The sequence below is a fragment of the Homo sapiens genome, chromosome 1, assembly GCF_000001405.40.
Source record: "Homo sapiens chromosome 1, GRCh38.p14 Primary Assembly".
NCBI lineage: Eukaryota > Metazoa > Chordata > Mammalia > Primates > Hominidae > Homo > Homo sapiens.
This window is the reverse complement of record NC_000001.11, coordinates 193,552,415-193,571,030: the sequence shown is the minus strand read 5'-3', so window position 1 is coordinate 193,571,030 and position 18,616 is coordinate 193,552,415. Positions and strand designations below refer to the sequence as shown.

At 37.0% G+C, this 18,616-nt stretch overlaps 1 long non-coding RNA gene across 1 annotated transcript in view, besides 1 other annotated feature; it reads right to left on the bottom strand.

Annotated features, from left to right (window-relative positions):
• LOC124904475 (uncharacterized) overlaps positions 1–18,616 on the bottom strand; it is a 765,263-nt gene that overhangs the window by 648,517 nt on the left and 98,130 nt on the right. The gene's annotated exons all lie outside the window — the stretch shown is intronic.
• Positions 1,881–2,017: a silencer, noted in NCBI's record as "fragment chr1:193538144-193538280 (GRCh37/hg19 assembly coordinates)". NCBI's record gives its function as "represses an EF-1alpha promoter that drives an FKBP-Casp9 reporter gene in an ReSE screen in HepG2 liver carcinoma cells {active_cell/tissue: HepG2}" and the evidence as "EXISTENCE:reporter gene assay evidence [ECO:0000049][PMID:32094911]".

The following is an 18,616-nucleotide window of genomic DNA, read 5'->3' as shown; positions in this document are numbered from 1 at the left end:
CATCATCCTCAGCAAACTAACACTGGGACAGAAAACCAAATGCCGCATGTTCTCACTCATAAGTGGGAGTTGAACAATGAGAACACATGTACACAGGGAGGGGAACATCATACACCAGGGCCTGTCGGGGGGTGGGGGGCAAAGAGAGGGAGACCGTTAGGACAAATACCTAATGCACGAGGAGCTTAAAACCTAGATGACAGGCTGATAGGTGCAGCAAACCACCATGGCACATGTATACCTATGTAACAAACCTGCACCTTCAGCACATGTATCCCAGAACTTAAAGTAAAATAATTAAAAAAATAAAACTCCTAGAAAGAACCTTTCTGAATTGAGATCAGAGTGAAAACTTAGGGATTCTCTTCCATCTCAGACTGCTAATCTTTAAATTGTTATGATGAAACAAAGATGACTTGCTGAAGATGCTACAATGAAGAGAGTTGCATAAACTGATTGTCTACTCTCATCATGTTAGTTGATATCATCTGGTTCATCAGAATTCTTAGGTTTCTGTAATCAATAGTCTCCTTTTTTTTTTTCCTGTTCTTCTCTAAGATTGAGGGCTTAAAATGAGACGAAAATGATGCTGAGCATCAAACATGTATCATCTCATTTAATTCTTAGAGAATCTGTGGTTACCCCCATTTTAGACATGTATACAGATATGAACAAAACGATTCAGCAACTAGACCAAATAAGTGATGGAGCCGGGTCTAAAAATTAACTCTAACTTCAAGTTCTTTATTCTATGCAGTGTCCCAAAGCAATGGCAGACAAGGAAAGAGCCAGAGACCTACATATCCTTGCTCTTAGGATTGTCATCCCACAGCCCATGACCCTGGGGCTTGCCATTCCCTTTGACAGAATATCTAGCATATATAAGTCATTCAATTGATACTCTTAATAGTTCTTGCCTCCCTTTCAAGTGAACAAGGACATACAGAAACTAATTTTTCCATCCACAGAAACTGTTTGAATATGTAGTCCTACCACAATTTCCAGACACATCTAGACTGAATTCCTCCTGTGCCCTTAGTCATAGGGGAAAATAGAACATGGAAATTTCCTTTTTAAAATGAAACTAAACCTGTGGTGTTTCTGGTTTTACAATCTGCTTACTTATTTTAAGTCAGATTCCTGATCACTACCCCAAGAGACTGTGGTTTAGTGTATCTCAGCAACCACCCAAGAATACAACAAATGCCACAGATGATTCTAAAGTGAGTTGTCTCCATACACTGAGAAACATTAAAACAAAGGATTGAGTCTCAAGGCAGACAGGTTTTTGGTCTTAGTTTCTCAATTCTCACATCTTCACATAAGCAGAAAGGGCAAACAACTATTAGAACAAAGAAGAGTTATTCTGTACATAAAGTGAGTGAAGGTTCACTTCCCTAATCTCAAATTATTATGTAATATTGATGAACAAAGTGAAATAGCTAATTTGGAAAAATTTTTGAAAGTGTTTCTGAAAGAAATGTGTCTTGTCTTTCTATATAAGTATAGAAACCAGAATAAGAAAAATAATTTTATTTGATGCAATTACAGACTCACTATAGTTTTACCTTTTTATATTTGTATAAAACTCAGCTAGAAGTATATTTTTATAAAACTCAGCTAGAAGTACACTTCAGCTAGAAGTAGTTATAAAAAGAATTTTCCAACTCCTTTCTTTCCATCTTCTTATCTTAAAAACGCCATATGGCACCAACTAAGATAACACATAGGAAGCACTTAAAACAAATCTTACCTGTCACAACAAACATTGCTGTCCTTTCTCAATTTTCACTTCCCTTCACAGGGAATACATTCATTGAAGAGAGGACATTTAATCAGAAACAATTTATCAAGTCTTCTAAAGTAATACACATTGAAATCAAATCCTCCTTCATCAATAACCATACAAGGAAAATAACTGTTAACATTAGCATTTGTGGTTACTATCAAGTCACCATTTATAAGCTAAACAGATACCAGTTTGAATTTTGATAAAATACCCACATAGCCAACACCCAAACCTTAAGATGACAGGAAGCGCTGAAACCTGCAGGAAGGTTGGAATGTTACCAAAGGAAAAACAATAGGGTTTATATGTCAGAACATTTGCTGCATCATTTTTTAATTGGAAAATAGGATTGAGAACTAAAAATGCTGTAAAGAGTCTTTGGCTGCACCTAGAGAGGAAAAGGGAAGTAACTTACACACTAAGGGAAGGTAAAAAGCATACAGAAGTTTCCAAAGAGGAAAAAAAAAAATTGTGAAAAAATGTGTCTCCTTGGAGCCTGAGTGGAGGAAGTATAAAAGAGAAAGTATCAAGTCATTCAAACACTATCAAACATGGAGACGCCCTTTATCATGGGCTACAGGAGTGGAAGTAGGTGACCCATGAGTATGGGGTCATCTTCCTGGAACTGGAGATAACCTTTTGTAACATCTCTACTCCAGTGTTTCCACTTACATGAAGTCAGGAAAAGATTAGTTCTAATGCTATTACTTATGCAAATTATTTGACTTTTCACATGAAAGTCAAGTTTCAAATTTAATGACTAGACTATTCATTTCTTCGATGTTTATGATAAGATCTTTGAGAACCTGTGAGCTTTACTGGATCACAGTCCTAAAAAAGAGGTTTACAAACGTTCTTATGTTGCAGTGACGCTACTATTTCTAAAGAGGACAGAAAGGAAAAATGAAATGATGGAAAATGGAAAAATTCTGGAAAATCCACTCTAGGAAGAAGCAGAAACGTTACCAGACAGTAGCTAATAAAGTAGAAGAGGGAAAATGTATTTTGACATTTTGATGAAAGTCTGTCAAAGAGCAAAAATCACACCCTTTGGAAGTAGATTGACGAGCTCCATCTCAGTTTCCATTTTACATGGCATTGTGCAGAAGCACAGAGTTACTAAATGACTATCCAAATCACACAGCAACCCATGTTCATAGTTGGGCAAACTTTTCAAATGTCCCAATTTCTACTAAACGGTAACTTACTTGTAAAATGGTACCAGGAGCTAGGGCAGAAAATAGAGACCCTAGGTGGGAAAAGATTAGTAACCAAGTGATGCTAATGTTAGGTGGAGAAAGACAGGAATCACACAAGAACAGAGGGCTGCCGAACAGCAAAGGAGAGCAGGGTCACGTGCAGAAAAGTCAGGAACGTTTCCTGAAGTAGTAGGCTCTGCAGAGACCAGCCTCGAAGTCTAGAAAGGCTTGTTAATAGTCGGCAAAGGCAAAGGAGAAAGAAGGAACTTATACTCGAGGTAAAGAGGACAATAACTGTGCCAGTCGCGGTGGCTCACACCTGTAGTCCCAGCACTTTGGGAGGCCAAGGCGGGTGGATCACTGGAGGTCAGGAGTTCAAGACCAGCCTAATGACAACAAGGAGAAACCCCGTCTCTACTAAAAATACAAAATTAGCCAGGCGTGGTGGCACATGTCTGTAATCCCAGCTACTCGGGAGGCTGAGGCAAGAGACTCGCTTGCACCCAGGAGGCAGAGGTTGCAGTGAGCGGAGATCATGCCATCACACTCCGGCCTGGGCAACAAGAGCAAAACTCTGTCTCAAAAAAAAAAAAAAAAAAAGACAACAACTGAAATCATAGAGGTAGAAAAACAGGAATATTTAGAACACAGCAAGAAGGTCAGTCTGGTTACAGTAGAGAAGGATCAAGTAAAAAGGTTGAAACCAAATGGTGGCAGACTTCTGTGCTAAGCTGGAGTGGATACACTGAATAAAAACCATTAGAAATTTCAGGAACATTATCTTGACAGCTGTGTGTAAGGCAGACTGGGCTGGGAGGAGAAGAAAATACGGAGAGACAGTTCTTCCAGTCATCCAGAAATAACGACAAAGTGAGAAAGCCAAGACCCAGACTAAAATGAACCTTGGTTAGGAATTATTCAGTAAAATACCTTTAAAGATTCAGAAAAAGATTTTCTTAAGTGCACTAAATAATGGGGCAAGGGGGGAATAGAATGAGAGCACACCCGTTGCTGGAATCTTCTAAGATTGTCTACTAATTATGAGATTTTGGAAGCTGTAATGAGAATCACAGCTAGCAGCTACACACACACACACACACACAGACACACACACACACACACACACACACATACACTCTCTCTCTCTCCTTCCAACCTCAGAGTTGAGTTTAACACTGAGTCTGTATACTGAGGTATATTCATATGACACGAGACATATGTCAGCCAGAGAAAGGGTGGAGCCAGTACTTTTCTTAAAATTCATAGGTATACCTTCGAGAAATCGAAGTATTAGGAAGTATCTGGACACATTAGGCATGAACAGTGGTCTGATGCACCCTGGGATAAAGTGTTTCTAAAGTAGCAAGACTCCACCTAGGAAGAACACTGGCAAAAACGCACCTTGTAAATTCCAGTTTCATGTGTGCTGAATTGGTAAATACCAGAAAAAGAGCAGGGAGGCAAGGAAAGATTACACCTCAATCCAGTAGAGATGCACTAGATGGATACCTACGATACTGGAATAGAATAAAAGATATGAAAAATAATTCACATTAACACCTAGGTGTTCAGTTTGTCAAAGGTCCAGCTTTTTAACAAATAGGCTCATAAATGAGGTTTCAGCCCAGAACATATTATGACCTAACTCGTGGGAGCTCCTGTTTATTTGCTATTTGTGTTGTAATATGCTACTGTGCTCTCTTGTAATCTTTCTGACTGATAAGAAAATGCAGTCTATTTGACAAAAGACCAAAAAAAGTGCTACTAATTATTTTAAGAGTATAAAGTGAAGTAGAAAAGACAAATATATTACTTTGAATTATACATGCACAAGAATTAGATTCTCTTTTTAGAAGACAAATTTGATGACTGGGTAAAAAATAAACTGTACCACTTACAAGAAACAATTTAGACAAAATACAAAGAAGATGAAAAGTGAGAGGAAAGTCAAAGATATATCAGAATGATAAAGAGTATGACAATATCTATATCAGAAGAAGTTGAATTAAAGGCACAGATATTATATGTCATAAAAAGGATTATTTTATATTAACAAAAGTACAATCTACAAAAATGATATGTCCTGAATGTCTATATATCAGATAACATGGCATTAATGTATAAAAAGCAAATGCATTTAAAAAGCTGATAGAAACACAGGAATACGAGACACATCATCCTCAGGCAAACACCAAGTGGCGAAAAAGAAGACAAAGAGGATTAGAAAACTACAACTAATAAGGATGATTTAATATACACTAAACTTTAATATTTCTAATTTTAAGTCCTACAAGCACTGAATATAGTTCTTTTTAAGGACCTATCAACATTTTCAAAATATTATTTATGGGTAAAATAAAATACTAGCTCAAGGAAAGAGCTAAGCCAACAAAACAGAATAAAGAGCCCTTCAGACCCTAGTATTTATGAGAAATTATTATGTGACACTATAGTATAAAGTGACATTACAAATCTGAGCAGATAAATTAATAAGTGGGCAATTAGTTAATCATGTGGGGAAAATAAGCTAGATCTTCAACAAGTCTATATACAACAAAAACATTGGGTGAATGAGTTGAATTAAACAAAAACACTAGCAATAAAAACTGGTGAATAGGCCAGGCACAGTGGCTCACACCTATAATCCTAGCACTTTGGGAGGCTAAGGCAGGCGGATCATGAGGTCAGGAGATCGAGACCACCCTGGCTAACACAGTGAAACCCCGTCTCTACTAAAAATACAAAAAAAATTAGCTAGGCGTGGTGGCAGGCACCTGTAGTCCCAGCTACTCGGGAGGCTGAGGCAGGAGAATGGCGTGAACCAGAGAGGCAGAGCTTGCAGTGAGCCGAGATTGTGCCACTGCACTCCAGCTTGGGTGACACAGCCAGACTCCATCTCAAAAAAAAAAAAAAAAACTGGTGAATATTTACATTGTATTGAACAAAAACTTTCGTTCTGCATAAGTTAATCAAGGAAGAATCTTTAAAAATGAGTTTTATAGATTTGGCTACGTAAGATTTAAAAGGTTCACTTTCCAATAAAAATTATAAAATTGAGAGGTGAAATGTAAAAATTTATGAAAAAAATCAATCTAGTCTGTAAACAGCTGCCATCAATTACTAAACTGCCGCCTATCCCAGCATAAAATGGACAAAGCATATAGGAAGTCAGTTTGTTTAAAAAAAAAAAAAAAGAAAGAAAGAAAAACCAAACCTTAATAATATATTTATGGAGAAGCAAATCAAAACAATTAGATTTGAATTTCTTCTACAGGTGGTAATTAATCTATATGTTTATTCCTAATCAGAACGCAATTCTATTCAGGTTACTGAGGATCACTTCCTAAATACAAATCCAAGGCCTTGAAATGTAAATATCCTCTTTACATGTAAATATCAGTTTTCTAAAGTTATCACAAGACAGCAATTTAAATGTGAATAAGATTTGTTTGTAAAATAAGTATTGTTTCTAAAAAGAAAAAAACTGCCAACAAACTAAACAGCTAACAGTATTTTGGATTAAGTTACAATAAATTAATAAGACAAAATATAAGTCATTAAAAGTGCCAGGAAATATAAATATATATGTATATATATAAAGATACATATATATGTGTATATAAATGTGTATATAAAGATACATATACACATATATGTGTATATAAAGATACATATACACATATATGTGTATATAAAGATACATATACACATATATGTGTATATAAAGATACATATACACATATATATGTGTATATAAAGATACATATACACATATATATGTGTATATAAAGATACATATACACATATATATGTGTATATAAAGATATATACACATATATATGTGTATATATAGATATATATACGCAAATATGTGTAGATATAGATATATATACGCAAATATATGTGTAGATATAGATATACGCAAATATATGTGTAGATATAGATATATATACGCAAATATATGTGTAGATATAGATATATATACGCAAATCTACGCGTATATATATAGATATATATACGCAAATCTACGCGTATATAGACATATATACGCAAATCTACGCGTATATAGACATATATACGCAAATCTATGCGTATATAGACATATATACGCATATATATGTATATATATACGCAAATATATATATATATATATATATGTGTGTTTTTTTTTTTTTTTTTTGAGACAGTCTTGCTCTGTCACCCAGGCTGGAGTGCAGAGTTGCCATCTCTGCTCACTGCAACCTCCGCCTCCCGGGTTCAAGCGATTCTCCTGCCTCAGCCTCCTGAATAGCTGGGATTACAGGAGGGCACCACCATGCCCGGCTAATTTTTGTATTTTTAGTAGAGACAGAGTTGCACTATATTGGCCAGGCTGGTCTCAAACTCCTGACCTTGTGATCCGCTTGCCTCAGCCTCCTAAAGTGCTGGGATTACAGGCATGAGCCACCATGCCTGGCCGCCAGGAACTATATATTCTGAGACAACAGATATGTAGATATTCACACACTTAATTTTTGTGAATATAAAAGGAGTGATAACAGTAGTTATTTCTGGTTAGATAAGAATTCATTTTCTTTTTATTTATCTGAATGCTTATACAATAAGCACATAGAAGCTAAAAATTTTCACAAAACCACCTAAATATTACAGATGTAGATCATGTAACTTTTGTGTAATGAAATACCATCCAAGTGTTAAAACTGTATCATAAAAAAATTTAGTAATATAGAAAAGTATGAAATGTTAAGAAAAATTGACTAAAGTCATATGTAAGATAGCAATTTTGCAAAAAAAATGTACAGATATAAACATTTCAAAACAGCTAGATGGATATGCACAAAAATATTAACAGTGGTTATATCTGGATGGGAGAGGTACTAGAGTTACAGAGGGTCTTTTTTTTGCTTCACCAAATATTCGACAGTGAACATTACTTTGGTAATTACTTTTGTAATTAAAAAAATATATTAAGCTGGGCGCAGTGGCTCCTGCCTGTAGTCCTAGGAGGCTGAGGATTGCCTGAGCTCAGGAGTTTACGACCAACCTGGGCAACATGGCAAAACCCCATCTCTACTAAAAAAAGAAAAAAGAAAAAAAAATATTGCTGGGTGTTGTGGCACGTGCCTGTAGTCCCTGCTGCTCGGGAGGCTGAGGCAGGAGAATCATGTGAACCTGGGAGGCAGAGGTTTCAGCGAGCCGAGATTGCGCCACTGCACTCTAGCCTGGGTATCAGAGAGAGTCTCTGTCTTTAACAAAAAAAAAAAAAAATTATAAAAGTTATTTTTAAGATACTCAAGATGTTTAGTAAACCTAAGTAAGAGAAAACGTATTTTAAAACTTTAACAGCTAGTTCTATTGTGCCTTTTTTATATAAAAATTATCATTTTTAGCGCAAAAAGTAGAACCCTTTTATTACAATCTAGTGAGGGACACAAAATAAAACCTGAGTGGTATTGTGCAAGTAGTGTATAAGTTCTAACTTAAAATATTTACTTATTAAAAAAATGAGAACAATGATATATTACTCTTTTGATAATATATCCCTGTGCCATTGCTGCTGTAACAAATTACTGCAAACTTCGTGTCTGTAAACAACACAGATTTATTATATTACAGTTCTGGAGGACCTAAGTCCAAAGCATGCCTTACCCGGCTAAAATCAAAGTGCCACAGGGCTGCTTTCCTTCTGGAGACTCTATGCAAGAATTCCTTTCTTGCCTTTTCCATCAACCTGCATTCCTTGGGTTGTGCCCTGCCCCTCCCTTTTCAAAGCCAGCTATGCTAGTCAAATCTTTCTCACATCCTATCATTCTATCACTGATTCTTCTGCCTTCCTTTTCCACATTTAGGGACATTTCTGATTACATTGGGCCACTTGGATAATCTAGAAAAAATTCCTTAAGGTCATCTGATTAGCAACCTTATTTCCATCTGCAATCTTACTCCCCCTGCCATGTAAGACAACTGTCACAGCTTCCAGGACTTAGGAAATGTAAATCTATGGGTCCCGTTACTCATCACAGATGACTACAAATATTTGCAATCAGTGGACACCAGTTTCACTAGTTCAAAAAATATTTATTGAACCTTTGCTAAGTGATGGAAACTATTCCTGTGTTGAGAAAACAAAAGTTAACAAAATAGAAATAATTCTTCAAAGAGCCATTACAAACATTACAGTATGAATATCATCCTTGTTTTCCATTTGCTTCAGTTTTTGGCTTTGCATGCGTACTACATAGAAAAATTTTGATTTTTGCAGGTAAATAGCTACAAATGACAAAACATTGCAACCTCAGAACTTAGTCACTCATTCAGAAAGTGTTTACTAAATATTCCCGTGGACCTGGAGTCATGCTAGGTGTGAGAGATAAAACAATAAACAGAAAAAAATGGTCTCTATTCACTTGTGGTAATTTAAAATGTGAAGAGTTATGAGTGAGATGACAGGAAATTTGTTGCAAGTTCTGGCAAGAGAAATTAATATGCATAAAATACTAATCCAAAAAAATGTATTATTCTGGAAAGGATACTTTGTCTCATTTGGCAGTATTTTAAGGAATATATTATTTTAAAAGTGTGTGTTGACATTTTTTTTTTTTGTTTGAGCTGGAGTCTCACTCTGTCACCCAGGCTAGAGTGCAGTGGTGCGATCTTGGCTCACAGCAACCTCCGCCTCTCAGGTTCAAGCGATTCTCCTGCCTCAGTCTCCCGAGTAGCTGGGACTACAGGTGCCCGCCACCATGCCCGGCTTTTTTTTTTATTTTTGTATTTTAGTAGAGACAGGGTTTCACCCTGTTGCCCAGGCTGGTCTTGAACTCCTGAGCTCAGGCAATCCACCCTCCTCGGCCTCCCAAAGTGCTAGGATTACATGCATGAGCAATCATGCCCAGCCATGTGTTGACTTTCAATAATGGTTTTTATTCATATACACATATACATGTAGATATCTATACATCTATATGAATATATATAAGAAATATGCACATATTGCTTAGTGAAAGCTGAATCAAAACCCTGAAACAGCTCACTAAAATTTAGCTGTCATAGAAATTCACTGTGAAAATCACTGCTTCAGTTAAATGGGATAAGCTTATTCTATTCTTAAAAGGAGAGTTTTTTATATAATAATGATAGTTTTCACATTTTCTCTTTATTTTTCCTAAATGTATAATATATTCTAGAGCTGGCTCAAGATTTTCTTTTTCTGGTATGGGGACACAGTTCTAGAAGAGTGAGATTCTATGTTTATAAATAGCATTTTGAAGCAAATCTTGCAAAAAGATTTGCTCCCTCATCAGAATATCTTTAACGAGATCAAAAGAATTTAGACCATAGAGTTCTGTGTGTAGAGAAAATATCCCAATTTACTACTGAGAATCACTCAATAGGCTGGAATTGAGAAAAAAGGTGACCGACTATTTTCAATTTGCCTAGACTTTCTAGATTTTGAAAATCAAAGTCCTACATCCAGCAAAACTACCTTAGTCCTGGGAAAACCAGCATGGCTGGTCATTCTAATCCAGACCCTAGGTATTTTGAGTTGGAGAAGAGAGAAAGAGGAGGGAGGAAAGTAAAGTCAGTGGTCACAGCTCTCAGTAACAAAAGGAGGGTACGATGCAGGGCAGGGCTTCCCTTTCCTTCCTCGAGCAAGACACGTCATGGTAAATCTGGTAGGGCTATGGGGTCAGACAACTGGAAACACTGAGAATCACTTTCTTCAGCTGTCCTTTCTTTATGTTGTGGATTCTGAGCTGAAGAAGAGTAGCACATCAAAAAGGCCCACTGCAGGAGGGATGGATAAGGGAAGAAGGACCAGTGGGCTACAGGATGCATCAGACATTCAGGACCTGCAGTCAGCAGAAGCAAATTTGAAAGAGACCAGATCAGTGGTTACATCAGCCACAGGTCTCATCTACAAATGCCCGGGTGGAAAAGTGGGTAGAGGTATTGCCTCAATACCACAGGACACTCTAAGGGCATTTTATCCATGGACTTCAGTTCTTCTGCCTCATCATGAGATTGCATAGGCCATATTCCTCCCTTCCTAGGTCTTCATTGAAACTCTAATAGAATGAGCATTCTTCTCTAAGAAAGACTGGACATTATCCAAACCAACCGCTGAAATTCTTCTTTAAAATCAGATGGTTTATAGATAGAACCCATCATATTTCTTCTGCTCATCTGAGTTACAGCATGAGTTTCATGTGTGATCTTGCTAGAAGTATACAGCTGCACAAGGCTAAACAGCTAACATTGTAAGGATCCCCAGTCAAAAGATGCCACCCAAAGTGAGTGAATATGGTTTTCTAGCAAGTCAGTCATCAAGAATTTAAGTGCCTTAAGGACACTTACTTAGTACTGTACTTGGTTATGCGCTTTATGTGGCAAAGAAATAAGCTAACAGCTCTTGTTCGTAGTTTTTTCACTAAAATACGGTTCATCTCCAATCTCCTACTCCCGTTGGATTTATTTGTCAGGCTTTACCCACTGCACTGAAACTAAAAGGAAAAAAATATCTTGCTGATTCACATACCTACTCAGAGGCTTCAGCATGCTGGCTGCCCAAGAGAACTTTAACAGCTCAGACCCCTTTCAAACAGCAGTGAATCTCTTTAAATCTAGAGGATTATGCTTTTGAAAGATTGGAATGAGGAAAATCCTCTTTTTAAAAAAAATCCTCCTAAGACATCATAAATCCAAGAGTCAGTATTTTCACCTGGTTTACTAGAGCCAAGGCATTTATATTACTCAAGATATATATTTACTTATTTTTATAAAATATATTCTCCTAGAGGCCTAGGTGTCAAGTGCATTTTCTTCTTCCCCAAATTGTAAATTAATTTTTAAAAACCTTTTGAAAATACACTGTTTGCAGACCAAGAACTGTCCCCCTAACACAACCATGCTTTTGTATCATGTTCATCCACTCTGCACAGCTTAAGTAAAATGACATTGCAGGTAGCCAGATCACTTATGTCACCAAGAAGACAAATAGTTACCTTTGTAACAGAAAGTAAAATAAAAATCAGTATCCAGCTATTTCATCCAGAGAAGTCAAATTGGTACTAACACTCACCAAAAAGTCAACAATTGCTGACACAGTCAGGAGGTTGAGAAAAATCAAGTAGAAATGAGGAAATAGGGTTGCCTGCCAAGCATACCCACAAAAAGCAAAGACGTTTTGACACTCTTAGTGAATTCTCACTACAAGAGGAAACTTTTGTTGGACAACACCCAACAGATCTTAGTGCCAAGGTCAGGATAAGATTGCCCAAGGAAGTGACCCGGACAACTCTGTGTGACTTCTGGCTACACCGTTACCACTGGTCCAGATGCCTGGTGATGCTGGCAGATGCTAAGGCAGTCGGGTGTTTATGGTTTGGATCTGGGAGAAGGAAATACAGCTAATAGCTCCAGTGGTTGAACAGAATTAGAAAAGCTATGACTAAACCACCTCTATAAGATTATGAGTCATCTCTAGATGGTCTTCCCTTTTGTACTGAATGGAACACATTGTTATAAACAACAAAATCTAAATGTAAGTGGAAATTACACAGGGAGTCATTCCAACAATGAGCAAACTTGAGAAGAAATACTCTCTAAGATAAAGGATTTATAAGTACCTACAAAGTGCATCATGTGTGGAATGCATTTGAGAAATATGTCTACCTTGCTTTTTTAATATGTGGGAAATTCAACATGGATCTATTTTTTAACAAAATCAGATTATTATTAGACAAATTATTATTTAAAAACTATATTGCACTAAGTCCTTTTATCAAAATGAAGATCCTACATTAAAGAAAGCAACATGCATTCTTCTCTCTCTGTAAATTTGTACCACCAAATATTAGGCTGTTTTGTTGTGGGGTATACAAGTATCCAAGCAGGTGTTTGAAGGAAGTCCCCAAATCTTATCTTCTTTGAAACAGGGTAATACTCAAATCATTTCAGAGATACCGCTCTCTGTACTATTCTATAGCCTGCAAAATGATTAGGAAATTTATTTTGCCCAGTTCTCTATCTACCTATAAAAATTAGGGCTTTGAATAGAAAGTATATAGATTGGCAAAGATGAGGCTATTCATACCCCAAAACTATGTTGAATTTTACACAAAAAATTTCAACTATTCACTTAGAGAAGTTTATCTGTGGTAAGGGTTTAAATTTTAAAGTAAAAATTCTAAGGATTTCTAATCTTGTGTACTTTACTTATTCATTTGCTTATTTTAGAGAAGTGGATTCTCTTACAGATTGGCATAGACAGGATGCCTAGGACAGCTCTTTATAGCTTGCATTAATACAAGGAAATTTTGTCTTTTTCATTAGAACTCTGAGTTTCCCATCTACCTTATCATGGGTCTAGTTTGAGGCACTATGGTTGAGGTAGGACTGAGTGTGACCAACCACTATAGAACAGATTAAGTCAGGACTAAACACACAATTCCAAGTGAAGGCAAAAAATGAAAATATCAAATATATTTAAAAAAAATTTTTTTTGAGACAGAGTCTTGCTCTGTCACTAGGCTGGAGTGCAGTGGCACGATCTCGGCTCACTGCAACCTCCCCCTCCCAGGTTCAAGCGATTCTCCTGCTTCAGCCTCCCAAGTAGCTGGGAGTACAGGCGTGTGCCACCACACCCAGCTGATTTTGTATTTTTAGTAGAGATGGGGTTTCACCATGTTGGCCAGGATCGTCTTGATCTCCTGACCTCTTGATCTGCCTGCCTCAGCCTCCCAAAGTGCTGAGATTACAGGCATGAGCCACCGCGCCCGGCCGGAAATGTCAAATCTAAAGGTGCCATGAGCAGACAGACAAAAACAGGTCCTGAAACAAAGGGTCTTAGACCCAGGTCAGCAAAATGGAGATGGTGTTAAGGGTGGGGTTTGGGCCCATGAACCAGACAGAGTGGAGCCAGGGAGGATGTCATATGGCATCAATTCATACAGCAAAGATCCTGGAAAAGGAATGCGGGCCTAGCTCTTCAGCAGGGAAGGAGCTTCTGGGGAGCTTGGCTGCTCACTGCTCACGGAAGGTTGAAGTAGCCTTCTTTTGGTGGCACTTCCTTAGAAGATTTGCCTCTTCTTCCATTTCCTATTCCTTTTCTCTCCATTACAGGGTTGAGTGTTTCATTCTCCTGAGTCCCTAACACCCTGTCATCATGGGTCTCCCAAAGTCCTATTTCACATTTTGTTTCTTGTAATCGCCATTTCCCGATTTCTTCCATGGACACCTTCTAATGTGTTTACATGTATACGTTTGTTTGCATGTGTTCCTGAAAGACTGTAGTTTTGCGCGGTGTACATACATTTTTATAAATGGGTGTTTATTTTCTATTTTCTTCTGTTTTTCACCATTTAATCAGAACTGTTGTTAAGCTCCATCCATATAACTGTCTGTTCATCTAGCCCGTTGCACAGAAGTTCTGCTTGATTCTCCATTTAGTAAATCCACCACATCTTAGCATCCACTCCCCTGGTAACGGATTGCCTTCAGTTCTCCCCACCACAAACAATGCAGCAATGAACAGCCTCAGACATGTGTCCCATGAATCTGTTAAAGAATGTCTGTGGGACATATGTTCAGAAGTAGAAGTTTGGGTTGAAGGATACTTAATATGACATAATGCTAAATATAACAAGGTAGTATGTGGCTGCCACAATCAACTCCTACCAGCGCCATGTTAATTTCAATATTCTTACATGCCTGAAAAAGTTGCCATCGTCCATCTTTCTAATTGTTGGCAGCAAAAAGGATGTGCAAACCATGGCCTATTGGTCAGCTGCATGTTTATATAAATAAAGTTTTATTGGAACACAGCCATGCCCATTTGTTTATGTATTGCCTAGGCTGCTTGCATGCTACTGTGACAGGGTTGAGTAATTGCAAAGGGACAATAGGGCCTGCCAAGCCTAAGGTATTTACTATCTGGCCCTTTAAAAACAGTTTGATGACTTCTCAGAAGTGTTAATTGTTTTCATATTCATTTCTCTGATTATTTGAATTGGACATCCCTTTGATACAGGACAGGCAAGCCCCCAAATCGGGGTTTAGCCCAGCAGGATTCTTGGCTTCCTCCAGGAAAGAATTCAATGGTGGGTCAGTGGTGTTAAATAGCAACTTTTATTGAATCAGCAGTGTACAGCAGCAGCAGTGGTGCTGCTCCTTGCAGAACAGGGCTAACCATAGGCAGTGTGCCCAGAATAGCAGCCTAGAGGCATTCCAGCACTCATTCATATTTATACCCACTTTTAATAATATGCAAAGTAAGGGGCAGTTTATGCAGAAATTTCTAGAATGAGAGTGGTAACTTCCAGGCTATCTCCTTGTTGCCGTGGAAAGAAGTGGTAATTTCTGGGTATTGCCACAGCACATTGGTGGGCCTGTGTTATGGGGAGGTGCTTCTGCCCCTGACTTGTTTTAGCGAATCCTCAATTTGGTCCGATGACCAAGCCCCACCTCCAGAGTAGAGTTCTGCCTCCTACCTCACCTTTATATACTTGTTGGCCTTTCGATTTTCCTCTTTAGTAACTTACCTATCTGCACCGTTTTGGATTTTTCTTGTTGATATGCAGGAGTAAGTTATACTCAGAAAGTAGCTCATCAATATTAGAATTGCAAATATCTTCTTCATCCTGTTGGCTGCCCATGAATTGTATATGTGGTGACCTTCATAAAAGTGAAAACCTTAAATTTTGGTATCAAATTAATCAAAGTGCGAACTTACGGTTGATGACTTTGAGGTTAAAAAGCCCTTCACCACAGAGTACTTACTGATTTTTCTGAAGGGATTTTTTTTTGTTGTTTGGTTTTTTGCATTGATCAAAATAATATTTCCTTTGCTCTATTAATGCAATGAATCATGTAAATAAATTTCCTGAATTTCTAAGTTTCTGTAGTTCTTTGATACCTGAACTAATTAATATGGTTTATATTAGTCTTTATTGTATATGTATATTCTCACACTTGGTTGTAAACTACTAACAGAGAAAAATACACACTCCATATTGTAGAAGTCCAATAACACCTATTAAAATTATAAAACTGGAAGAAAGATTGTCATGGCCACTATGAAATGGCTTCCAATTATTGTATTAGACCAACTCTATAAATCTTTCATTAGTATCCTGAGAATCAACTTTACGCCAAACTCAGAATTGTAAAGAATATCTAAACGCTGCTTGCTAGTGCTGGAAAACACGGAGTTGTGTTAGTCATCAAAATTTAAAAACTAAATAGCCAAAAATGAAATTATTCTTGTAATATATAATTAGCATTTCAAAATTTAAAACATACTTTGTTTTCCTCATTAGTTTTGTCATTTCTGTTCAACAACATGGAAAATTATAACCCATAAAAGTGCTTTTGTCCAAAAGAACTCTTGTCCTATCATAACTCTTACATGAAAATTTCCAAATCTTTTAAAAATCTTAATTCATACTCAGGGTTGTTTTACTACCTTTTTTAAATAAAAAGAGTATGAACAAAATGTTTTGATTTGCCCTTTTTCATGATTTTATGCCCACATTATAACGCCTAAGGCAGAGTCAAAAACACAAATAGCTTTCCCTCATTTTTAGTCTAGTAATTCAAGCTGAGTTTCAGATTGGGCAATGGAAATGGATCTATGATAGTACTAGTAATACCAAGAAAATCCACGGTTTATTAGTGTCACACCAATGTCTGTACTCCTTAGATTTAAATGTATTACATATTAGCTCTGTAATAATTTACGCATGTCACAGACCCCTCCTTCTAATTTGGTGCCAAAGTTGTATGTGAATTTCATATTGACAAGAATCCAACAAAAAGAAAGAAGTGTTTTTAATCAGAAACTTTTATAAACAAGTTTCAGCATGGAGAGATTAAATATCTGTGGACTTAAGAATTATAGAGCATCCGAACTATGAAAGTTCAAGTTAAGTTCTAGTTAAATTTTATTTAATCAAAATTATCTTTAATTAGGTATGTGTATTTTAAACTTGGTATCTAACTGACAAGAAATATTCAGATGACATAAGTAAATATTCATTGGCTGACAGAAATAGTCTCTAGGATATAACCATTTGAGGTTTAGTGGAGCCCCATAAGATATTGCATAGCTTAACAGACCTCCTGTCTTTACATTGATTTCTTCTCTAGGAGATCACTAGGGCCAACCCGTGCTACTCCCAATTAGTCTCATGTAACTTCTTGCTTCCAGTCATTCTACCTATTGGCAGGAGAGACAGTCCTCCTCAGGCCTAGTGCTTTCTTTTATGTCATACTGGGTGTGTCAAGAATGCAAGACCTTGACCACTCTTTATTCAGTCCATTTCTCAGGGCTGTGTTTGCAGTGAGCAACCCTGACAGAGGAGTTAGCCTCTGCCTCTAGACAAAGACCAAGTTGTATTTACTATGCATAAAAGCAGTAGACTCTCCAAACTCAGTACTCCTCAGCCACAGCGCAAACCCACTGTGTGCTTAGCATATATTTGGGCTGTACTGTGTCAGTTCTGTAGGAATTGGGAGCAAGGGGTGCCAACACGAATATGCTGATACCCTTGCTGCTTGTTATGTCATAATCCATAAAGTCCTTTGTCTCTAATCTAGGAGTATTCTATTTTCTGCCAGCATCCATGAAATAGTAACAGGTGAACTTATTAGCTTGGTAAGCAGAAGAAAATCAAATCATAGACACGGCATCTATGGCATTTAAATTTTATTTTCTACTCTGGCCAAATAAAAATCTCTTTTAAAAAAAACTGAAAATCTGGACTAAAAAGCATTATAGAAAATCCTCAGATTTCTAGATTCTCTTATTCTCTGCTCAATTTATTAAATTTAAAAAAAGTCTAAAGGTTCCTAAAGGAGTTATCAACTTTAAACTATATCCTTAATTTCTTTTTTCTTCCTACTTCCTAAACAGACATTCGTAATTTTAACAAGACTTTTAAAAGTAAAATAAAGCCTAAATCAAAATCTTGAAGGGTTTCTTCCTCTGAATTTATTTTAATCACAGGGTTATATATGATAGTTCCAAAGCTCAAAATTCTATGCTAAAGAAATCATTTAAGCCAAGAACATGATTCTTGGGGTGACAGTACAAGCTTAGAAAGTAGAAATGTCAGAGGAAAAAAAATCAATAAAGACTGTTGATAAAAAGATAGGTTTTAAGATAGGACAAGGAAACAAGAGAAAGAAAAACAAGAGAAAGGACACTTGTTGAAGGCAAATAGGAAGTTGATCCAAACTTAGGAAGCTGGTGCCACATGGCCAAATGTTAGATAAATGAAATCTTACAGAAAAGAATGGATCAGAGAGTAATATGTCTTCCAAGCAGGGACTTTCGTCCAGAGTGGGCTAACGATGCACGGATAAGCAATAAAATGTCTTAAACATTTCTTACATGAATAATAATTACTGTTTTCGCTCATTAACTTAATAAACAGCTATTGAGTTTCTACTATAGGAGAGGACCTGCTCCAGGATCAGGGGTTAGCAAACTATGACCTGCAGGCCAAATCCAGACCAACATCTGCCTTCGTAAATAAAACCTTCTGGGGACACAGCCACAACTAAGTGCTTGGGTTTTCTGTGTCTACACTCATGCTACAACAGAGTTGAGTCGCTGCAGCAAAGACAG